Source organism: Homo sapiens, chromosome 10 (genome assembly GCF_000001405.40).
Source record: "Homo sapiens chromosome 10, GRCh38.p14 Primary Assembly".
Classification (NCBI taxonomy): Eukaryota; Metazoa; Chordata; class Mammalia; order Primates; family Hominidae; genus Homo; species Homo sapiens.
This window is the reverse complement of record NC_000010.11, coordinates 99,437,324-99,462,631: the sequence shown is the minus strand read 5'-3', so window position 1 is coordinate 99,462,631 and position 25,308 is coordinate 99,437,324. Positions and strand designations below refer to the sequence as shown.

The 25,308-nt window shown below is 40.8% G+C and overlaps 1 long non-coding RNA gene across 12 annotated transcripts in view; it reads right to left on the bottom strand.

Moving 5' to 3' along the window:
- Positions 1–798: 798 nt before the first annotated feature.
- Positions 799–25,308, bottom strand: part of GOT1-DT (GOT1 divergent transcript) — a 30,898-nt gene continuing 6,388 nt past the window's right edge. For 8 of the 12 annotated variants that reach the window (NR_183999.1, NR_184000.1, NR_184002.1 and 5 more), the window contains one exon: positions 24,517–25,001. This is a non-coding gene — a long non-coding RNA (GOT1 divergent transcript). Of the gene's footprint in view, positions 2,024–5,515; positions 8,583–10,634; positions 10,848–24,516; positions 25,002–25,308 lie in introns of those variants that run through there. The other 4 variants (NR_183992.1, NR_183991.1, NR_183993.1 and 1 more) reach the window with 2 other exon arrangements.

Here is a 25,308-nt window from a genome sequence, read left to right as displayed (position 1 = left end):
GAGGTCACGAGTTCGAGACCAGCTTGGTCAACATGGTGAAACCCCATCTCTACTAAAAATACAAAAATCAGCCGAGAGTGGTGGTACACACCTGTAATCTCAGCTACTAGGGAGGCTAAGGCAGGAGAATCACTTGAACCCAGGAGGTGGAAGTTGCAGTGAGCAGAAATCACACCACTGCACTCCATCCTGGCAACAGAGCTAGACTTTATCTCAAATAAATAAGAATCTGACTTCTCTTCCACGCCTATTGACAAGTGACTATAAATCCTTATTCTTTTTGCCTCCTGTGCTCTTCCATGCACAGATACAAGGGTTGAACAAAAAGGTATCAGAGTGAATAGGAAAGGTTAGTCCAAGAACAAATTAAAGGAAACTTCCAAAGTATTCTTGGGAAAATACCCTACACAACAAAAAGGCCAGAGCTTCCTGTTCTCCCAAGTCCTTTTTCTCACATTAACTACTTGGAGCTTGATGCTTCTATGAGAAAGGGAGAGAAGGTGTTGGTGTCATCCTTTCTTTCACTCATGACGAAAGAGAAGCTTAAAGATGATGAGTGATTTTTCAAGATCAAGACTAGGAAAGCATGGTATTGGAAAAGAACTTAGATTTAAAACTCTAAGTCCAGTCCTCTTTCTGATGTACATGTGCTTCTCATATTGGGGTGTGAACATCTCAGGGCAAGCATGGTGGGACTAGGAAATTATTTCAAAGATTTGAGATAAAATGGCCCTTCTCAAAGGTTTTTAGGGAGACATTTTGATATAAAAAATATAAAGGCACATGATGAAGTAGAATACAGAAACTGCATAACTTTTTATGACAAAATACAAGATTTCAAAGATATTGGCACAAATGGTAATGGCTTTTCTGGCTGTACCCTGAGACGTCCTGATGGTGTGCTTTCATTGTTCTCTGCTGTTCTGGTGGAGATGAGAAGTACTATTCTTCACCACAGCGCCTCACTTCTTTCCCTCTTCTCCTCCTCTTCCTCCTCTTTGTTGCTCTTCTTCTTCATGTTTTTAGTTGATATTGCCACTCTCTCAGCACTCCAATGACAGCTTGTTTGCAAGATCATTTCAGAGGCATGATGCTGCTGTCAGGACTGCAGTTGTGGGAGGAGCTGACTCTTCCAGGGGTGATGCGGACAGGGTTGGGAAGAGACTGAGTCACACTCTAGGCTGAGTCACCTTCACTGGGTAAGTGTGGACCTGCAGTTGAACCACTCTGCTGGTGGCATGTACCCTAATATGCCTGTATCAGCGTATTAGTCAGATTGGGCTGCTGTAACAAAATACCATAAACTAGGTAGCTTAAACAATGAAAATGTGTCTTTTTTGCAGTTCTGGAGGCTGCACATCTGAGATCAGGGTGTCAGCATGGTCAAGTTCTGGTAAGGGCTCTCTTCCTGGCTTGCAGATGGCTGCCTTCTTGCTGTGTTCTTACGTGGCAGAGAGAGAGAAAGAGAGGCTTTCTAGTACCACTTTTTATAAGGATACTATTCTCATCTTGAAGGTCCCATCCTCATGACCACATCTAAATCTAATTATCTCCCAAAGTTCCAGTCTCCAAATACTATCACGTTGGGGGTTAAGGCTTCAGCATATGGATTGGCAGAGAGTGGAGGAGAACAATTAAGTACATAGTAATCAGTGAGGGTGATTTAAATTGTAAGTAACGGAAGACCCAACTCAAAGAAACTTCAACAATGACAGGCATCTGTTGGCCCAGGAAACTGGAGGCACGTTAGGGTGGCTGTCAGGAACAGTTGATGCTGAACAGCCTGAACCATGGAGTTCTGGTGTCCATAGCACTGCCTTCATCCTAAGACTGCTTATTCTTTCAGTGTCGAATGTCTGAGACTTCATGCTTCCTAGTTCACTTCCAGTGAACATGTCTTCTAAGTTGAAATTATGTCAGGGCCTCATTCCCACATCAATTACTGTGGCCAGTTAAACCAATCAAAGTTTTTTTCTGGGAGCTGAAGAATCAACCCATTCAAATTCCATAGCTACTTCATAATCTGAGAAAGAAAGGAACAGAGATGGTAGGAGATGATTATGTTGCCCATTACAGTTTTCTCTTTAAAATTGTCCACTTTAAAAAGTTGACTGTGTCTGGTGCATGGTAAGTTCTCAGTAAATATAAGTAGTCTAACTTATATCCTGCCTGTGTATTAGGAGTTATTGTGAATGTCCAGGGAAGGGGTAATAATGATATGGACCCTACGGAAAGCATAAAGGGAAATGCTGTCAACACCTCTCTGAACTCTTACGTTGTGGCAACACAAAGAAATTCAAGAGAGAGGCAGAAGTCTGTGGCCCCAGAAGCTGCATTTGGGGTTTCACTGGGATCACATTGCATCTGTATGCACTTCCTCTTCTACATCTGGGGAGAGCCATTTTCATTATGGAAATTGGCATTGGTTCAAGCCAGCCTGGTAGGATCTGAATTTTCTCTTTACTTAAAACATTCGCCTGAGGTCAGGAGTTTAAGACCAGCCTGGGCAACATGGTGAAACCCCGTCTCTACTAAAAATGCAAAAATTTAGCTGGACGTGGTGGTGCATGCCTGTAGTCCCAGCTACTCGGGAGGCTGAAGCAGGAGCATTGCTTGAACCCGAGAAGTGGAAATTGCAATGAGCCAAGATGGCGCCACTGCACTCCAGCCCAGGCGACAGAGCGAGACTCCATCTCAAAAAAAAAAAAAAAAGAAAAAAGAAAAAACATTTACTATGACTTATATCCATACATCACATTGTAAATGACTTTGGAATATATCTAGTTAACAAGCTGGGAGTCCATTATGCTAAGTGAAATAAGTCAGTCACAAAAAGACAAATACTGTGTGCTTCCACTTATATGAGGTACATAGGGTAGTCAAATTCATAGAGACAGAAAGTAGAATGGTGGTTGTCAGGGAGTAGGGGAAGGTAGGAATGGGGAGTTAGTGTTTAATGGATACAGAGGTTTCAGTTTTGCAAGATGAAAGGCGTTCTGGAGATGGATGGTGGTGATGGTTGCACAGCATTGTGAATGTACTTAACGCCACTGAACCCTACATGTAAAAGTGGTTAAGACAGTAAACTTATGTGATAAATATTTTACTATAATTGTTTTAAAATTAGGAGTCACGTGTGGGATTTCCATTTTTACCTTTTACCATCATTTTTTTAAAAGCTCTTTTCTATTGCTACTTTAATCATCTTACTTGTACAGTCAGCAAAAAAGATGATTTGTTTTTCCACCCCAGGCACCAAGATTTCTTTTTTAAGGTTAAATTTAGACCTTCTAGTGAGGTACTCTAGATTATTTTCTAGATTTACTATGTATTACTTTTCTTCTAAAATTTTCCTTTCCATTTTTGCCCTCTCTGATAGTGGAATTGTTTTGCAGCTCATTTTTCTCCTTTTTCTTTTCCCAAAATTGACTAACTTTAGTGGCTATTAGAGTTACTGTCATTATACATTTTCTTGGGAGGATCAGAACAACCCAGCCAAGTTTTGGGTAAGATATAGCAAAAGCCAAATTCTCCCATGTATTGTGGCTGCAGCCTGAGTGTCACATCCTTCGCCAGGTGCTCAACTGTCACCTACTTTGCCAGGTCCCTTATAAACATGACTTCATTAGCTTGTCACAGCTTCCCTGTGAGGTGTGTGTCTCATTGTCATTATACACCAGGACACTCAGCAAGGTTGAGTAACTTGTTCAAATCTCACAGCTGGTATCCTTGGCCCTGAAGCTTGATAAGGTTGTTTTTTTTTTTTTGTTTTGTTTTGTCTGTTTGTTTTTGAGACAGAGTTTTGCTCTGTTGCCCAGACTGGAGTGCAGTGGCGAAATCTCAGCTCACTGCAACCTCTGCCTCCCGGGTTCAAGTGATTCTCCTGTCTCAGCCTCCCAAGTAGCTGGGACTACAGGCGCGTGCCACCATGCCCCGCTAATTTTTGTATTTTTTTAGTAGAGATGGGGTTTCACCATATTGGTCAGGCTGGTCTTGAACTCCTGACTTTGTAATCCGCCCGCCTTGGCCTCCCAAAGTGCTGGGATTACAGGTGTGAGCCACCGCACCCGGCCAGATCTTTCTTTTTATACTCCACTGCCTCCATCCAGTCTTTGCCTCCTATCAAGGCATTAGGATAGCTCCATCTCTGACCTCCTGGGGCACTGTCTGCCTTTGCAGGGGAGTGAAAAAGCCTGCTGGGAAGAGCTGGTAGTAGAATCCCCTGTAGTAAGAGATGGTTATCCTGGCTTTAGAATTGCCTCCCACCTTATCCTCCCTCCATCTGCCCAGTTCCTCCAGGTTCCCCTAGTTCTCCAGCTGCTGTCACCACATCTAAACCAAAGGACACTTTGATCCTCTCTTGGAGCCAACATGGGTGTAGACAAACCCCCTTATTCTCTGTGTTCAGCAGAAACAAGGATAGCACTTTTCACAAGTAAAGGAACATTTTCTAAGAAAGAAGACAAGACCAAGCTGCAACCAGAAAAGACAAAAGCATCCGAGTAGATGTACTGACAGTGGATGTACTGCTTCTCTTTGTAATTTAACTGCAGTCCTTCCAGAGTGGCTAAGAGTTTTTTTTTTTCCCATAAGTTATTGGAATACACGTGGTATTTGGTTACATGAGACATTCTTTAGTGGTGATTTGTGAGATCCTGGTGCACCCATCACCCAAGCAGTATATACTGCACCATATTTCTTGTCTTTTATCCCTCACTGCCTTCCCACTCTTCCCCACAAGTCCCCAAAGTCCACTGATTTAGCTGCAGTTTTACTTCTCAGTCCCCTCAAGGGGAAGCAGAATCCCAATTCTTTCTTCCTTCCTGGGGCAACAATAGGTCTGAGTGGCCGGTGGACCGCTGCCCCTCAGGAGATAACGTTCACATTTCTCCAGGGTTAAGGTTACATGACCAATTTCCACACGTGGAACTTAGTGTCCTCCTCTCCTGACAAGGGGATGAGGAAACTGACATACTGAGAGGAACTTGACAGGAGTTTAATTCTCAAGACCACTCCCACAAAGAAGATATTGTAAAGAAGAGTTAAGAGTGTGTTCAAATTCCAGCACTGCCCACTGCTAGCAGTGAGACTTCAAGGTAGGCAAACTGTTCAGCCCTTTAAAGTCCCACTTTCCCCATGTAGGGGCTCAGGGAGAATTGAAGAGGTTTGTACACACAGTGCTCAAAAAAACCCCAAAACATTCAATGTTATTAACGACCCTGGGAACTGGGTGTCAATACTCCACTTTTACAATTAAGGTAGGTCGGCTGAGGTCAAGGCCCACGTTCTTTCTATTTCCCCATTGCTGCGGCCCTCATCTGAGCACTTGTTCTCATACTGCCTTGCACCATTACCAGACTCTGCATTTGTGGAGGCCATAATAACCCTAAGTAAATAACTGCTTTTGAATTAAATGCATGAATGCCTGTGTTAGTAAAAGGAGAGGAAATGATTTGAATTTGAGAGACAGCAAAAGTACTTATACCAGAGGCGAATAGATTAATTCATTTAGACAGTTAATATTTACTGAGTATTCACAGGGTACCCAGCCCTATACATGCTGATTCCACAATTTTGGATGCCTGGAGGGCATGGGGAAGGTAGGGCGGGGTGACTGGAAGAATGGGGAAGTTGGTATAAAAAAGTCTGAATTATAATTAATATCCTTCTTTTCAGATAATTATAATCTTCAAGTTGGGTTGAAAAAGTATTGTTGGATTAAGTAAAAAAAGATAATATCATTTGCGATGGCTATATTAGTCATTATTATGGGAAAACATTTCTGCCTCTTCTATCCCCAAATCCTAGTTCATGAATACTTTGCATACTCTCACAAAGCTAGTAATTTTAATTGTAAATTAGTATAGAGTCCAAGTGAAGTTTTTTATTAGACTGTTCCTATGGGCAGAAAGTGACACCATGCCTAGGATCAGGGGACAAGATGCCGGAGAGCAGGACTTCCTGTCTTGAAGATGGCATATGATCCCTGACTTGGTCATTTATTTAATTTAAGAACAGGACAAGTAGCACAGGTGGGAATCCCAAAGGTCACAGGCATCTGCAGTCAGTTTGGGGTAACATTGCCATTGCTACAAAGGCTTGATGCAGTCAGGGTCCTGGATAGATTGGTGAAGTGAGGGGAAGACATGGAGGATTCCAGGGCTGAGAATCCCTCAGTGTGGGCATCTGCAGGTTCAGACAGGTAAGAGAACAGACAGGTTAAAGCAGGTTGGATCACAGATGACACGGTGAGAAAGGACCCATAGGAGCATGAGTTCTTGAAAGTAGTGTTAAAATCAGAGTGAGATGAATCTGGGGACCTCAGTTCTCTTGCAATCAATCTTGACTCATTAAATGGATTATGGCTGATGCAAAAAGGGGACTTGTGAAGGCAGCCTAGTAATGTGCCTCCAAGCATATAGTATTTGAATCCCAATCTGTCACAAGCTGCCTGATAGCAGTAAAGTATGTAATCTTTGGGCTTCCACTACCTCATTTGTAAAGTGGGGATGACAACAGTACTTGCTTCATTTGGATGTCATGAGGATTAAATAACTTGGCAAAGGTTACACGCTTAGCAGTACCCAGCACCTAGAAGGTGCTCAGTACCAGGCAGTGATGATTATTATGAATGCGTAGGACCTAGAGTTGCCACATTTGGTTTGTGCGTTCCTCAAGGGCAGGTTCTATGGTTTTGTCTTTAAGTACTCATCAAATTACTTAGTTCATCACCCTTATTGTCGTTAATAAAATAACTCTCAGCTACTTTGAAACATGGCCTCTGCTTCCAATGGCGACTACTGTCTGATACCGAGCAACCTCTCCGTGGACCTGGAACCAATTCTTCCAGATTATTTCCACCAGCAAAGAGATAGCTGAGCCATGGCAATGTGCACAAGCTATCACGTGAGTCATCCCTGTGCCCATCACATACCGCTACACTATTCCCTGGACCTCAGATCCCAGTAAAGGCGACAGTAGGGAGTACTTCTGAAAGCAGAAGTAGAGAATTGTGGACTCAGAGGGTTGGAAGGGATTTTGAAGGTCCTCCAGACCAACCACCACACAGTAACAGTAAAAGTAATTAGAGTAACGACAAGCAGGAAATGGAGAGTAGTGAAGGGAGGAAGGAAGGGAGTCCTCCGAGAAAAGGCAGTGTAAAGGCCCTACGGTGGCACAACAGAAGCCTTGCTTCTAATTATGAGGTTATCAACTGTTCTCCTTTAATTTGGGTGGCCTGGGATCCCTGGGGAATAGACAGGACATCTCTTCTTCAAATACTGAGGCCTCTGGCTGAGAATTACTTTTGAAAAGAGGCAGCTAGCATTTCTTGTGTATGTTCTCATCAGATAATCTTAGTTAAATTATAGAGATTTATAACTTTTTTTAACCTTACTCTCTTTTGTGTGGCTTTCTTAGTATGTAATGCATGTTACCATCTTTCTTTCTTTGCAGTTTTTAAATGTTAAGGCTCTCTACATCTCATACATTTAGAGTAGAATTTTTTTTTAAAAAAACTCCCTTCATTTTCTTGTTTTCTCTACTCTGCCTCTTCAATTCTTTATATTCTGCCCCTTTGCCATTGTCTTCTTTATTTATTTTCTTTTGTCTTATTCTCTGTTCATCTTGCTCTAATATTGCATATGAGTTTCTATTCAGTGAAGGTTTTCATTGGACTGTTGCTATGGGCAGAAAGTAGTTAGAAAGTATCTTCAGCCCATGACAACTCCATCTGTTTATAGAGAGGGAAAGCTGGAGGTTCAGCCCTGGACTGGAAACCAGGATTCTGGCCCTTCCCTTATTGTGTGGCTCTGACATTCCCTTAGTGCTTTCCATTCTTAGGTCTTAGAATTGAAAAGAGAGAATAAACTAGGGCATTGCTCAGTGATGCGTTCCATGAATCACCTTTTTACGAAAGTCTTAGAAGACACAGCTCCACCATTCAAGGTGCAAGATGTTCCAGGCTGATATTATGCTCTCAGAGAACTAGGTGTCCTAGCTGAAGCCCAGTCTCTGCCGCTCTATTGTCCACAGGCATTGTGACCTTTGTATTTCTGGGTAGGCTTTGCTTTAGAATCAGAGACTTTGTGGGAAAGGTTCTTCAAAGTCATGCAGTCCATCTAGCCATCTGATGTCTGAATCCCTGAATCCAGGGAAGGGAAACTCCTGCTTCCCAAGGCAGCCCAATTCATCCCATGGCCAAATAATAAAGCTGAATTTTCAGAGAAAACATCTCTATGTGGTTGTTTGCTTAGCAGACCCTCCTTCCATTAATTACAAGGTTATCAATTGTTTTCCTTTGATTTGAATGGTCTGAGACCCCTGGGGAATAGATAAGAGGTCTCTTCTCCAAATACTGAGGTCTCTGGCTGAGAATCACTTCTGCAAAGAGGCAGCGAGCACCTCTTGTGGATAATAGCTAGTCTTAATTTTCAGTAGTCATGGCTCATTTCCTTTCTATTAAGGTTTTTGCTGGGTGCAGTGGTGCACACCTATAGTACCAGCTACTTGGAGGCTGAGCATAGGGTGGGAGGATCACTTGAGCCCAGGAGTTTGAGTCCAGCCTGTGTAATAAAGAAAGACTCCATGTAAAAAAAAAAAAAAAAAAAAAAAAGAAAAGAGAGAGAGAGACAAAGGGCTTTAAAGTTATCAGAATACTCAATTAATATTGCATTATTTTTCTTAAATTTAGATATGGAGGTAAAAATGTGTCTCTAGTGCATGGATCCATGCTCATCATCCATAGCATGTCAATGATAATAGCTAACACTTCTATAATAGCTTCCACTTCTATAGACACTAACAATTCTAACACTGTTATGTGCTAGGCACCATTCTAAGCATTTTGCAAAATTAAATCAAGAAAATGTCATTTTTCTAAACAACTTTCCTTATTTGCTTCCCTCCAGGGGCCCAGAATATGATGCCACACCAACAAAAGAAATAATCTGATGTCGTCTAGTCCAATACCAACTTTCCAGATAAGTGTCAGGATATATGCCTCACTGAAGGCCACACAGCTATTAGGGGCAGTCAGATCTCCTGGCATCTGGGCCAGAAAATACCCTGAGCACTTCAAACATCTTAACAAGAACAAGCTGACTATTCGTAACCAGGATCAAGTAAGGTATTTTAAGAACCTGAAATTATTTTATCATAAGAACCAGTCTCATTTTGCTCAACATGTGTGCAATACTCTTCCACAAGATGGCAAAATCACCTTTCTATTTTTCTGAATTTTTTTCTTTAAAAATAAGCCCTTCTTTGAATTTCCCTTTAGGCACTTGTATCATCGCTCTTTCCATTTCCCAGGCTCTTTAAAAACCTTCCTTATGTAGCCAAGTGAATTTTTATTCAAGTTAGGACAGGGGTTTCTGGATTGGGGGCAAAATAGTCATTCGAATTTCTCTACAATTGACTCTCTTATCAGAACTGACAAACACAGTTTGGTTGACCTATTCAAGATCTGTTGGATCTTCCTCCTATGTGGCTTGTGGTGAGGGATCTAAGAGCAGTGGAGGGAGATGCCAGAGAGAGGGAAACCCTGAGTAGAACAGGGACAAGGATGGCATCTTAGCTGGCTGCATAATGAACAGAACACATCCTTAGAGGGAGAGAAGAGCTGGCTCCCTGGCTGTTTGCTTCCATGGAAATCCATCTGATACCTGCTTCTGGGGCTGACCAGAAGCACCATATGGAAACTCACTGACCAATTCTGCTTCTCAACATTTCCTCCCAAGAATCTCTGCCTGTGCCCTCTCCACATTTGGAACCAGGCCTGGCAACATCAATAAAGATGAAAGACTTTAGTGTTCTCAGAACATGGGGATATTCTAAGTCAATAGCAGTTTTTCAATAACAGTTTGATGAATCAGTATGTGGATTACATAGAATATTCTAAAAATCATGTTTGCCTGCAAGAAGTGACAGCTTTATAAACAGCATGGACATGGATGAATGAGTCAAATTCACTTTAAAACATATGCTAAGACAATATCAAAACAATTTTGTTGTATAAGATATTGTCCAGAATGTATTCATTGGGTTTGAGCTTCTTTTAATTTTACAAAGAAATTATTATAGCTATATTTGTTGGGGAAAAATACTGAAGATAGATTGGTTGATTTTTAGTTAGGTTTTGGGCAAAACATGTTTTCTCTAATTATCTGAACTTTTCTCCACTTTAGTAACTAACAAGATGGGATTTGTATGGGTTTTAGAGTCACACACACCTGGGACTTACAATTGTGGGAGCTTGTTTATGTTACTTAACTCTCTGAGTCTCTGCCTGCTTACATGTAATAGTACTTATCTCACAAGCCATGGTGAGCTTCAAATAAGATTTTGCACATAGAATATATTTGTACAGTACTAGGTATACAGATATTCTGTAAAGGTTTCTCTCTCTCTCTCTCTCTCTGTGTGTGTGTGTGTGTGTGTGTATGTGTGTGTGTGTTTGAAGAGAAGAGGAGGAATTGAGTTGAGTATGAATTGGAGGACCGTTCCAGAAATAAAGGATCTGTAAACATCATAAGTAACTAAAAACCAAATACAAACCCAGAAAGGAACAGAGATGAGAAATAGAAAAAAGAAGTTTGGAAAAATGCTGTCAACAAAAGATATTTATTAAATACCTGCATTTAGGGTCCTTTGCCAGGTAACCAATGTATGGGACTGAAGGATAGTTCTTGTCCTCGAGGAGTCTTTAGTCCATTTGAGGATAAAGACTTATTCATGTGTAAAAGACTTAATTAAAATGCAAAGGAATCATTACTGTTGCAGTTGAGAGGAGAGAGCAATCTCTGTATTTATCATGTCTTTGGAGACCATATAGAAGTTCAAGGGTGCTGTGGGCAGAAGGAAAGGGCAGATGTGAACATTTTGAAAGCACCAGCCTGATGAGTCTGATGACAAAGACTCACAAATGTCTACACATTTAGTTTTGTTAAAACAGCAGCGGTGAAAAATTATCTTAACAATCTCGGAAACAACAGAAAATCCCCAAACAATGCTAAGTGGGGCCTGGTAGCCTCGCTGCACTTATGCCAAGGGGGAGGGGATGGGTGGACTAGCTGAAGATGTTCAGTGCTTACTCCTGGCTTCCTTATTCAGTCTAAGAGACACCGACACCGTTTGTAGAGTTATTTATCCAGATCCTCTTTAAGCTCCATTTCTTTCTCTTCCCAGCAGATCCCTGGAGAGATGCCCTTTCAACCCTCCATCTCTGCTAAATGCCTGTTGGATCCCAGCAGTGGAGGCTGCTAGATGGTTGGATTTACTTAGAACAGACTATTATGAAGGTCTGTTAGGGTTGGTGAAAAGAATTCTAGACAAATCTTCCAGGTTAGAAGATAAATGACAGCTCTTCCCAAAGGTATTCCCATGAGAAAGCACAGCCACCATCCTACAGAGGGTTAATAGTCTCCCCCATCTCCAACCCCCAACTTGCTGTCAGAGATCAGCTAATCTGATAATTACGGCAACAAACACAGTTTAGACAAACAAGACCTGACCCTGAGGGTTTGGAATGAAAACATTTACTCTCTCCCTCCCCAGAGAGATGGTGCCTGGAGCATACACACAGAGAGACACTGGGAAAATACCCTTGTACTGGAGCAACAGGGTGAAAACATCTGTGTTCCTGAGCTGCTTAGGAAGATAAAGTTGCTGGGGAGGCGGCTCGGGCGGGGGAGGCAGGAGGAGCGGGGAATGGTGCAGTCCAGGGGTGTGCATTTTGGAGCAGATGGAAAATGTACCCCCATAACTGGAGATGTAAGCAAATTATAATTGATTTTACAACAGAGACAGAGTGAGAGGAAAGGTACAAAGGACACTGATGCAGGATTTGAGTGAAAATCTGGGGAGTGGCTAACAGAAGAGAAACAGCTTAAAACACCAAAGTAGGATTTATTCCCGAGAGCAAGAGAGGAAAGATCTTCACAGCAGTCTTGATTCTAAGCAAATCTAATATCTGCCTGCCAGTGAGGAAACCCAAGTTCTAACAGTCTAAGCTGGCCAGTCATCCTCTTCCTATCCCCTAGTTTAGCTTCTAAACTGAACAACGTGCCCTTTCCCCGTCGCTGCCTGTCCTCAAAAATTATCAAGCTATTTTTCCCCTTTTACTTATAAAAGCAGCTTCCTAGAAGAAATCTTTCTGGGTTGCTTAAACCAGAGATTGTGACTTGGATCTGCCTCAACCTGGAATTCCAACAGTTATTCCTTTCCCAACTCCAGCCTGAAGTTTCCCACATATCCCCGTCCTAGCAGCCACACATCATTTCGGTTTTGCCCATGACTGAGGGTGAGTCAGCCGGCAAACACTCCTTGCCCCTTAGGATTCTCCAAATTAGATCTAGGCATCCACATCCTTGGGGTATTTGCAGATCGCATGTATGGATGCACCAAGCTAAGAGGATAACTGCTGTGACTGATGATAGGATCAAGATTTTAAATGAATTTCATAAGCTGAAAGATGGTCTCAAATCAATAAGAATGCACCAGGAAAAAATGCAAAGCACTGCATTTAGGCCCAAAAATCAATTGCACAAATATAGGATGGAAAACAAAATATAGACCTACAAAACAACAGTTGAAAAAACAGACCAGTTTTTGTTCTACAATTGGCTCAGTATGAGACAGCAATTAATCTATCTGCTTAAATAGTGAATGCAATCATAGTAGGTATTAATAAAAGTATTGTGATCACATTAATAGTTCCCTATGTTCTTAACAAGGGAAAGGTAGGATAGGACTGAACAAATCTTTTTTTTTCTTTTTTCTTCCAACTTTAGCTGTTGGTTGACCAAGTACATGGAGTCCTGTAGGCTGTGCAGAGCAGTTTTGTCTTTTGTTTTGATTTCAGGTTCAAGTCCCCTATTGCAATCTATACAAGGTCCACCTTGGCAATTGTGAGTGGCTCCCACATCCTGTTTATCCTGTTTATCCCACTTGCTCCTGTGTTTTGAGGCTCAGTTGGCTGCTCCTCTGCTAGTCTGTTGGAGAGTCCTCTACTCCCAGAGACAGAGACACCTCTTTCCAGACAGAACAGTTCCTCACACACACCATGGTCATTTGTTCATTCATATATCCATGGAACATCCACTATGTGCCAGGCACTGTTCCAGGAACTGGGGATTCAGTGGTGAACAATAAAGACAGAGTCCTTGACCTCATCAAGCTTCCATTCTCATGAAGGTAGGCAGGCCCAAAACAAAAACTTTAAAATGTCAGAAAACGAGAAGGTATGAGAAGTTACCTGGTACTTGAAAAACCTTCCACCTTCTGCCTAGACTTTTCAGAATGTGACTTCCTGCTTCCTAACCCAGCTCAAGTTCCACTTTCCCCTGGGAGGCAGAGAACTCCTCTGAGCCGTCATCATCCCCAAACTGTTGCCCAGGGGCTTGTACCACATAATTTAGCACTTAACTGTGCTCTAATTGTTTCCCTAATGCCAATTTTGCTTCCCCAACAGACTGTAGGAGACTGTTAGCTCTTTGAGGTTATAAGATATGCCTTCAATTTAAATATATTTAGTCAAGCTCTAGCTAGGATGCTCTTTAGAGGGAAATGAAAAGCACAGTTCAAACATGACTTTAGGTTTTTAAGCCGATTCCCAGTTAACAGAAGAACTTCTTCCTGTGCTCCTGAAATCCTCTAAAATAAGAATGTAAAGTTAGGACAATAGTTTGTTTATTTGCTGAACTTACATCCCCCAAAGAGTCCTAGACTCTATAAGGAAATCTTTAAAACAACAAACATACCTTAAATCAGGCAACAGCAAGATTAGGAGGGACCAGCAGGAGAGAAACATCCAACAAGCTCAAAGAGGGAGAAAAGGTAAGTACAAAAAATGTCAAATTCCAAAAAATGCTTAGTTTAGAGTTTAGCCCAAAATAATGTTCTTCTGGGCCCCCTCACACTCTGTGGAATCAAAGCAGGCCAAGAAAACCCAGAAACAATACAAATGGTCATCAGTAAAAGACTGGTTAAAGAAGTAATGGTGCCTTCATACCGTGGGCTGGTATGTGGAAAAAATTAAGTTGGTAAAGCTATATACACAGATATAAAAAGTTTGATCATTATATAGTTTAAGAAGCAAGTCTCAGAGCAATATAGATAATAGAATCCTTTCAATTTAAAAAGTATTTGTATATATGTATGTGTATATGTGAGTGTGTGTGTATATATGTATATATATATATATATGTGTGTGTATATATATATATACCAAATTGTTTGCCATGGATATTTCTGGTAATGGGGTTACAGGTAATAGGTTGGGGGAGACAGGGGAATTTAATAACTTATTTTTGCTTTATATACTTGTGAAATGTTATATATCCTACACTTGTTTTATTTAGAATGAGCATTTATTGTTTTGATAAAACAATAAACAATAGAAACAACCAGAGCATTCATTGATCTTTCTTTTGGAGAAGACACACATGTTGTAAGGAACATGTTCATTACTACTGTTTGGTTTGCTCCTTGGAGAATTGTGGGTGCCTTTTGCACCTGTGGGAGCACTTCTGGAGATAAATCCTAAGCATTTGTCAAGGGACTGTACGTGGTTATCCCCTAGGGGACACTCCTAGGGGGAACGAAAGCATATCCAAACTGAAGACATGGCAAGGCACACCAGGGGAGAGATGTGGAGGCAGCTAGAGGCAGGTTTCACAAGTTTGCTTCCTAATGCAACTCAAGGATGCACTCAACAAATGCCTTGACGATTTTTTTGTTGTATAAATGAATTCCTAGAAAAATATGTATAAGTAAAATTTTATATCAACTGTAATTTTAAGCAGCAAGGGAAAACAGTATTTAAGAGGTGTTGAGGTCCAGAGCATGGCTCTGGAATGTTAGAGATGTTTTGAATTCTAAGTTTGCCACTTACTAGCTTTGTGATTTGGGGCACATTGTCACCTCTCATGTTTTCTTACTACCTCTCTGAGTCTCTTTTGGGGACTCTTCCTTCTCTTTCCATTCCTGAAATGCTGGCACATCCCAGGCTGCTGGCCGAGGCCCTCTTTGGTCTTTCCTTGGTAATGTCATCTTCCCATAGCTTCAGTTCCCACTGCATGCGCATGGCACACATTGGCTCAGGCCAAATCTCCTCAGCTACATGCTTTGACTAATACCTAATGAATCTCCATAGACACATAGTAAAACCCTTTAAGGTGTTTTATAGGGTGCTTCTAAATCTGGGTCCAGTGTATCTTGATACAAAATATTTTACATATTTATGGGGTACATGTGATATTTTGTTACATGCATGGAATGCATAAGAAGTCAGGAGTATTTATCATTTGTAAGTGTTGGGAACATTTCAAGTCCTGGCTTTCAGCTATTTTGAAATATACAATACATTGTTGCTAACTATAGTCACCCTACTCTGCAACTGAATATTAGGACTTAATTCTTCTAACTGTAAGTCTATATCCATTGACCAACTTCCCTTCATCCCCCTGCCATCCCACACACCCTTCCCATCCAGTGTACCTTTTCAGTCTTGTTGCTGAAACCTCTCTTTCCTCTCCACTCTAATCATACCAAATCACTTTTCAGTTCTTTGACCATGTTATATGCTCTCTTAACTCTGGGGCTTTGCAACTGCTGTATCCTCAGCTGTGAGCCCCCTTTCTCCTGCTTTTGTGTTGGCTAATTTGTGCCCATATTTAGATCTCAGCTTAGACCTCACTTTTTCTGAGAAACCCCTCTTGATCCTCCTTGTCTAGGCTAGTGTGTTAGCACCTAACCTAGCAATTTCCTAGAACTGCTCTCCTCACACTGCACTGAATGGTTCATTTATACATTTGGATTGCTCTCAAGATTGTTATCACCATGAAAGCCAGACAGTTGTGAGTCCCTTGGTATCTGGGGGGAACTGGTTCCAGGACCCCTGCAGATACCAAAATATGGAGATGTTCAAGGCCCTTATATAAAATGGCATAGTATTTACATGTGGCCCATGCACATTCTCTCATCTACTTTAAATCATCTTTAATTACTTATAATGCTTAATACAATATAAATTCTATATAGATGGTTGCTATACTGTATTGCTATATTTTAATTGTAATTTTTAATTTTTTTTGTCTCAGATATTTTCAATCAGCAGTTGATTGAATTCATGGATGGGGAACCTGTAGATTGGGAAGACCAATTGTATTTGTCTTGTTTGTCACTGTATGCTTAGAGCATAACCCCTAATACTAGCACTTAATAGTCCCATAATAATTGTTGTATCAATTACTGTTATTATGAATATGAGCAAGGTGATATAATGGTTAAGAGTTGAACTCTGGTTTCAAATTTTAGTTCTTAACAGCTAATAAAAAGCAATTGGCTAAAATCAGCAGCTACTATGACAAAGTCATGTGGCAGCATCGGGCTCAGCAGGGACTTTATTGGGAGTTACCTTCCAGATGGGCATCTGAGAAGTTGGCACTGGGTGGTCTCTGGGAGGTGCTTCTGCTTCAGGGAGTGGTCTCTGGGGACTGTTGTTATCTTCAGAAGAACCCTGAAGATGAACTGGCTCTACCTTTAACAGGAACAGCTGCTGAGAACCAAGTCTGGGCTTGGCAGCCAGTGGGGAGGGGAGCTGCCCCAAGAGGTGCTTCTTGAGGGTGCTCTTAGGAACCCTGGCTAGAGGTGCTGCCCTGGGCAGCTGCAGATAGTAGCATTGCTTCTCAAAGGGGCCCCAGGATTACCTGCAGCCAGACTCACCTAGAGAGTTTGTTAAAAATGCCTATTCCTTGGCCCTGCTCCAGATCTTCTGAATCAGGATCTGTATTTTAAACATCTTTTTAGGCTGGGCACGGTGGCTCACGCCTGTAATCCCAGCACTTTGGAAGGCCAAGGTGAGCGGATCACGAGGTCAGGAGATCAAGACCATCCTGGCTAACATGGTGAAACCCCGTCTCCACTAAAAAATACAAAAAATCAGCCAGGCATGGTGGCAGGCACCTGTAGTCCCAGCTACTCGGGAGGCTGAGGCAAGAGAATGGCGTGAACCTGGGAGGCGGAGCTTGCAGTGAGCTGAGATCGTGCCACTGCACTCCAGCCTAGGCAACAGAGCGAGACTCCACCTCAAAAACAAACAAACAAACAAACCAAAAAAAAAACATGTTTTTAAACATCATTTTAAAAGTCTGCTTCACAGATTTTTCTGAGGTATGTTAAGATTATAAGATTGGAGAACCACTGACAGAGGCTGAGTTGAAGAGACCTTGAGATACCAATGCATCTCAGCCTCTGCTTTCTGGAGTGGAGAGGCATTTTTGTTTCATTACACTCCCCTTCCTGAAAATCCAGCAAAATCAGAGTCCCAGGCCCTCTGCGTGGAACCTCAGACTGACTTCTCAGATCTTAAATGGTTGCCAGCCCTCAAAGACCAGCTGGAGGATGTAGCCGGGAAGAGATGTTTGTAAATCAAAGTATAACTTTCTTTGAATTATTAGGCATTATATGTACTTTTCTGAGGAGAACATGAATGAGCATTTGGTTTGCAGGAACTGTCTTGTTAAAAATGATTTTCTTTTGCGAGAAATCTCAATTATGGTAGATGAGCCTTGGTCTGGATTCTTCCTGTTGGGTCCTTTGAGGGCGACAGGGCCATCCCGGCACATTTGGTTGAGGTGAGTGAAATGTTTTGTAGGTGACATCTACTCTCTGTATCTGTCAAACAAAGACGGATGAGCAGGGCCTCGGCTGCCGCGGGGGACATTACCGCCTTGGTTTTCCCATCAAACTTTGTCAGGCTTTGTAACTTGAAGAAATGAAACAGGAGCTGGAGAGGGACAGTTCCTAACGAGCTGTCAGCAGGGCCGCCACGGGCTGGAAGCCTCCCTCTCTGTCGGCCTGCCTCAGCCCTGACTTTGTTCCAATGCCATTAGGGCAAAATCCTTGATTTTCTCCTACAGAAAAAGAAGTGGCCTGGAGCTGAGAGGCACAGATTTATAAGTAGTTTCTCTCATTATGCACTTCCAATGCTTAATCACCATTTCAAAGAGGAAGAGCTATCACAGCAGACTTCGAGGATTTCTCCCTAGACAGGATGCAGATCCCTTCTCCTGCAGCTTAGTCAGTGTACTTTTCTCACTTGCCTGAAATGGAGGCGACCTAACCCTCAGCGAGGCTGAGTTGTAGATGGCTGTCTGTACCCGGTGATTTTTAGGGCTGGGCCGAGGAAGGATTTACAAAGTACTGACATCAAGATTCTTCTAGAAGTACAGTGCTTGCCTGGGTGAGTTTTCCAAGGGAGCAGAGAGGCTGTTAGAGTCAATGCCAAGCATAACGTTGGATAGGGAGGGTATCCAGAGAAGTCAGGGAAACACAGTTCCAGCCATCTTAGGGTCAAGAAGTGACAGGCTCCATAACAAAAGCCCTGCGTGTCCTAGGAGCTTTTGTTTTGAGTTTATATTTAGATTTGCTTTGTTTTTTTGTCAACCACTATATTATTTATTATATAATTATTCACTCAAAATTGTAATATTAAAATAATAGTTTAAATAGTCTATTATCCAGGATTATAGATGGTATGACAGCTGACAGCCCTGGAATATGTTTTGAATAGTTATGCAAGCAGTGCATGAATATGTTTTTGTTGTAAAATGTTTAGAGGTTTACACAGCAAAATGTCCCTTTCCCTTCCATTCCTATTCCCAGATGTAACCACTGTCAACAATTTGGTACATGTCCTTCAATAATCTTTCTAGACGTTTATGTATATGTGCATGTATATATGCACATAGCTTTTACATAAATGAGTTCATATATCACGTATTGTGCGTTTTGTTTTACTTAATAGTATATATCTTGGAGATGTTTCCACAGCAGTACATATAGGTCTGCCTCATTAATTTTAACAGTGCAGTATTGCATCATATGGATGTGCCCTACTTATGTAATCACTCACTAATTGGTGGACGTTAAAACTGTTTCCATTATGTTTGTTATTACAAACAATGTTGCCATGAGCCTTCAGGCATATACCTCCTTGTACACATATTTTGGCAGGACAGATTCCTGGAGGTAGCCTTGCAGGGTCAGTGGCAAAGCTCAAGCCATATTTTTCAAGCAATTTTTAGTCCCTTAGCATTTCTATGTTTGCTTATTACACAATGGATCTAACTCTCCTCATCTCAGGACTCATCTCTATCAATGGTTTTCAACTCTGACAGTATGTTAAGATTCACTTCCACTGAATCAGAATCTTTTGGGAATAGGGCTCAGGCTCTGGATTTTCAGAAAAATTTAGAAAATTCTGAAGTGCAGCAAGGATTAAGAATCATTGATCTAAACAAAATAAAACAGAACTCTAGAACATTTCAAGATAATATTTAATATAACCAATTATGGAAACAAATAGTCATTGATTAATCTTTAATTTACTCTTAAAAAGTTTGAATAAGTCAAGTTGTCCAGGTGCAAATAAATTTTATATTTAATAATTCTATTGCACTTTTATCTTTTGAAAATGCTTTCTTTTTTTAATTTTTTTTTTTTTTTGAGATGGAGTCTCACTCTGTCACCAAGCTGGAGTGCAGTGGCGCAATCTCGGCTCACTGCAACCTCTGCCTCCCAGGTTCAAGTGATTCTCCTGCCTCAGCCCCCCAAGTAGCTGGGACTACAGGTGTGTGCCACCATGCCCAGCTAATTTTTGTATTTTTAGTAGAGATGGGGTTTCACCATGTTGGCCAGGATGGTCTCGATCTCTTGACCTTGTGATCCGCCCATCTCAGCCTCCCAAAATGCTGGGATTACAGGCATGAGCCACCTCACCCAGCCAAAAACTAATAATAATAATAATAATAATTTTTTTTTAAATCTCAGAGCATCTTCCCTTCAAAGCTGTAAGCAGGGTGGGTCAGGAACGGCCTTGTCCATTTTACAGTCCAGGAAGCTCATGGGAGTAAAATGATGCTTCTTTATTTATTGTGCTTGGGAAAAATCTGAGGATCATCTTAAAATGCAGATCCTGATTTAGTAGGCCCAGGGTGGGGCCTGAGATTTTGCATTTCTAACAAGCGCCTGGGTGGCGCTATACTGCTGGTCTGAGGACCGATCTTTGATTAGAGCACCTAGATAAAAGTCAGCTCAATACAAGGGAGAAGGAAATTCCCTGGAAGAAACTATGTGTCATCGAAATGATAAATACTTGCCATAACAAAGAGGTGAAAGGAGAAGGAAATACAGGGTGGGGAAGGGTGGGAGACAAAGAGGCCCTTCCTCTACATCAGTTAAGCAAGGGTGTCCTTCATCTTAGGGTCCATTGCCTTAAACAGGGGCATGTCCTGAATATGACATTAAAGGCATTCTAAGCTATTGGTTGTCACACCATCTATAATTCTGAAACTTTTCCAATATTGTTTCTTGCCTCTGACTATATATAACCTTCCCTTCTGGGGGATCCTGATGGGGTTCATGGACCCTTTAGTTCTCATCGCACTGCTTTCCATGCCTCACTCACAGCCCAATCCTCCCTTGGGGGAACCAGAGGCCCCAGCTCTGAGCTTGACCTGTCTATGCCCATCACCTGCTCTTTTGACACAACGGTCTTCCAGAGGAGACTTTGCAGCCTAGCTCTGGCCCCCATGCCCATCACACATGAAGGAGATGCTGCGTGTCACTTGGGGATGTCCACGTACCACCAATGACAGAGCTGTCCTCTTTGGGCAGTGCCAGTATGTTTTCCTTTTAACCTTTAGAGATTCTTGTCCTATGTAGTATAAGAATAACAAACACAAATAGATGTTTCTGGTTCTACCTTCTCTTGATATTTGTGTCTTCCTTTAACTTGATAAAGATCTATGTTATTCTTACAGGAAATGTCTTATTCTTCACATTTCCCAACAGAAACACAAAGATAAAAGTACTTATATCTTATGAATGCAAATTAGATTTTTAAAGTGATGTTTTTGCCTTTTGGGAAAAAAGCTAGAAGCAATAATAAAATGACAAGACGATAAATTAAAAATATTATTTTTAATGGGCCATTTTCTCTTAAAAACATTGGCTGCCAACATGGACTCCAGAACTTTGTCGTATGTGCAAACTGTAAGGTCTAAGAGGTATAGCTGGGGTAGGAATTAGAAGTGGAATGCTATCCATGCTGGATGGAAGATTCTGAGGGGGAAAGAACTGGCCTCAACTAGATTAATTCCCTCTATTTTATGCTTTCATGGACTTTTTCCATGAAGATATGTGGCACTTACCATGGCTGTAATTTAGTAATCTCAGATTATTAAGATATGTAGCACTCAGATATGGCTACAGTTTAGTAATCTTAGTATTTCATTTGTGCAATACTGTTATTATCTGTTTCCCCATTAGATTTCAATCCGTGAAGAAAGGGATTTTGTCTTTTTGTTCATCATGTTATTCTTAGCACCTAGTGCAATGCTGGCGCATAGTAGGTGGTCAATAAATATTTATGGAATGAATGAATGAATGAATGAATGAATCATGAAAAAAAGAAACACTGGTATTGTTATGGAATGGAGTTAAACTAAGGTTAAAATAAAAACTGGCTGGGCGCGGTGGCTCAGGCCTGTAATCCCAGCACTTTGGGAGGCTGAGGTGGGCAGATCACCTGAGGTTGGGAGTTCGAGACCAGCCTGACCAACATGGAGAAACCCTGTCTACTAAAAATACAAAATTAGCCGGGTGTGGTGGCGCATGCCTGTGATCCCAGCTACTTGGGAGGCTGAGGCAGGAGAATCACCTGAACCCAGGAGGTGGAGATTGAGGTGAGCCGAGATCATGCCATTGCACTCTAGCCGGGGCAACAAGAGCAAAACTCCATCTCAAAAACAAAAACAAACAAAAAACAAAAACTAGCCAGCAGGGTGGGTTGTGCTTATAATTCCAGCTACTTGGGAGGCTGAGGTGGAAGGATTGCTTTTGCCCAGGAATTTGAGGCTGTGATAAGCTATGATCATGCCACTGCACTCCAGCCTGGCAACAGAGACTCCATCTTAAAACAAAAAAGCCTACAAAGCTTAGATACAAAAAAAAGATTCCTGATTGAAAAAGTTGGAGACTCATTGCTTTAGTTATGCAAAAGATTAAAATACACACAAACAACCTTACCCCTTTAAACAATTTTGACATTGTTATGTAATTCTCTGTAGGCCCTATGCCTCTTCCATTTCTAGAGCAAGATGTTTCTGTGTTTGGAACTTGGAAGTGTTGTCATGGAAATGAATATGATGTCAAAAAACAAATACAGTGATTTTATCATAGGAACAATGACCTCCCATGTTCTTTTTAAACACAACTATTAAACCAGTAATACACTAAAACATGATTTTAGAAATATGCTCTACCTCAAAGGGAAGTTGTGGGAATGATTTTTAGACATGATTTGATATCAAATATTCTGACTTTCTGGGGCAAAAGCATAATATAATTTCAAAAACAGTAACACTTTATGCATTCTTACATTTAGTAAGTTTTTACCGTGTGGGATGCAATATGGCACCATGGAGAAGTGACCCTGGAGGCAGACTGTGTTCATATCCCCACCATTGTCTAGCTGTGCCATCGTGGGCAAGTTACTTAATTGCTCTTTGCCTCAATTGCCTCATCTGTTAAATGGAATAATTAGACCACCTGCTTCACTTATACAACTTGAATGAGTTAGTGTTTGTGAAGAACTTAGAACAGTACCCAACATATAATAAGCACTATATAAATTCTTTTAAATAAACCTTTGTGATGTGTTAGACACGTATAAGTAGTGAACTAGTATCTATTAAACACTTGTTGCAGAACAAGTAATAATCATTAGGCAATTTTACATCTATTCTAATTAAAACTCGGATGCAAATATCCTCATTCATTCCTTCAGCCAATATTTATTGTCTGTTCGATGTCAGGAGCTGTTCTCGGTCTTTGGATACAGAATTGTGGGATTCATTTTTTTTCTTCAATTCTCAAGTTCAGGAGTACATGTGCAGGATGTGCAGGTTTGTTACATAGGTAAATGTGTGCCGTGGTGGTTTGCTGCATAGATCATCCTGTCACCTAGCTATTCAGCCAAGCATCCATTAGCTGTTCTTTCTGATGCCCTCCTTCCTCCTACTCCCACCCCTGACAGGCCCCAGTGTGTGTTATTCCCCTTCATGTATCCATGTGTTCTTCATCATTCAGCCCCACTTATGAGAACATGCAGTATTTGGCAGTATTTGGTTTTCTGTTCCTGCGTTAGTTTGCTACGGATAATGGGGATTCATATTTTTAAAAATCACTAATTTATTAACTAAGGAGCATCAATAGCTCCCCAGATTTCCAGATCAACTCTAAACTGTAGCACACCACATTGTTCTTTATTTAAAAATAGTTTCTCATAGTATCTGAAGTTTTAAGTTACTACACACATACATACTTTGCTTTGGAGAATTACTTTTTCCTGTCCTACTTCATTGTCATTGTTAGAAACTATCTAAATTTTCTATTCCTGTGAAGTGTCTCTCAAGCCTGTTTTTAAAAAATTTTTATTTATTTTTGTTGACTCAGCAGGTGACTTGTTACACACGCCTTAGTGGATTCGACTTCCATGGCCACTGTCCTGCTTCAAACCTGTCATTTTTATTTTCAATGAAAACTTGATTTTTTTTTAGGCTACAAAAATAATACATGTGTTTACTCTTTTTCTGTTAAAGCAAAGCTACAATGCATAACTGTATGCCTACATACCTATCTTTGAAAACTTGTATAAATTTCTTTAGGATAGATTCCTAGAGGAGAAATTGCTTGGTCAAATGGTATTATGTGCATTTTGACTGTTATTACCAAAATACAAGAAAAGGCTTTATTCATTGACAGTCTCCCCAATAGTGCATGTCATTGCTCTTTTCCCTCAACACTATTTTTTGAACATTTAAAATGTTTGTCAGTCTAATGGGTAAACATTGATAAATCAGCGTGGTTTCAATTTTATAATGAGGATGATTTTGGACATGTTTACTGGTTATTTGTATTTATTCTTTTCTGAATTTCTTTATATCCTAATTTTTCCACCAATACAATGAAGCTCTGACTATATAACAGATGTGACTAATAAGCATGTTGCAAATATTCTTCCATGTTATCACATATTTATTTATGGTGTCTATAGCCATGCAAAGTCAATTATTTTCTTTATAGCTTCTGAGATTGTGCCATGATTAGGAAAGTCTATTCTACCCTAATACTATGTTTCAAATATATTATTTTCCCTATATTGTTTAAAATATTTAAATCTTATATCCATCTATAATTTATTTTGTGCAAAGGAGAAACCAATTTTTTAATATATCAAACAAATCTGACATAATTGACGGTCACAACATCAGATGAAAATCTGTGCTTGAAAAGGTGCATTGTTTTTAAAAGAGTTAAATACAATCTTGCCATCTTGAGAGTTCCAGAACTCTCTACAGCCAATGCAAGGGCCTTTTCTAGGACAGTTTCCCGTCATACTCCAGGCCTCACACATACCGGCCAAATAAAAATGCTATTGTGATACCAATAGTGATTAGAAATAATACTTTATTTTCAGTAATTAACAAAAGTCAGATATCCTGAAAATCAAATAATTGGCAAGTGAGTTTATATTTTAACCTGATAATTTCCTTCTCATAAATGTTTAATTGTATGTTAGACATAAATCACTCAAGAAAGCATTTTATAGCGGCACCTTCTTTTCTGGCATCTATTTTCAGGTTTATAGAAAATGGCTAGGCCAGGCACAGTTGCTCATGCCTGTAATCCCACCACTTTGGGCTGCTGAGGCGGGTGGATCACTTGAGGTCTGGAGTTCTAGGCCAGTCTTGGCCAACATGGTAAAACACCATTTCTACTAAAAATACAAAAACTTGCCAGGCGTGGTGGCAGGCACATGTAATCCCAGCTACTCGGGAGGCTGAGGCAGGAGAATCACTTGAACCTGGGAGGCAGCAGTTGCAGTGAGCCAGGATGGTGCCACTGAACTCCAGCTTGGGCGACACAGCAAGACTCTGTCTCAAAAAAAAAGAATTCTGGATGAAAAAGTCCTAGAGATGTGTTGCACAACAATGTGCATATAGTAAACACTAATATACAGTATACTTAAAAATGATTAAGATGGTAAATACATGTTTTTTTACCACAATTTTAAAAAGAGTTAATTATGTCTTGTGGTTTATGTTTTTAATCAACCAACAAATATTTGAGTACCTAGATACCTTATTGTGGAGGATACCAAGAAGTGCAATTGATGGTTTCAGTTCTCAAGGAACTAGCAACCAAGTTGGGAGAAAATATTGAGTATACATAAAAGTTAAT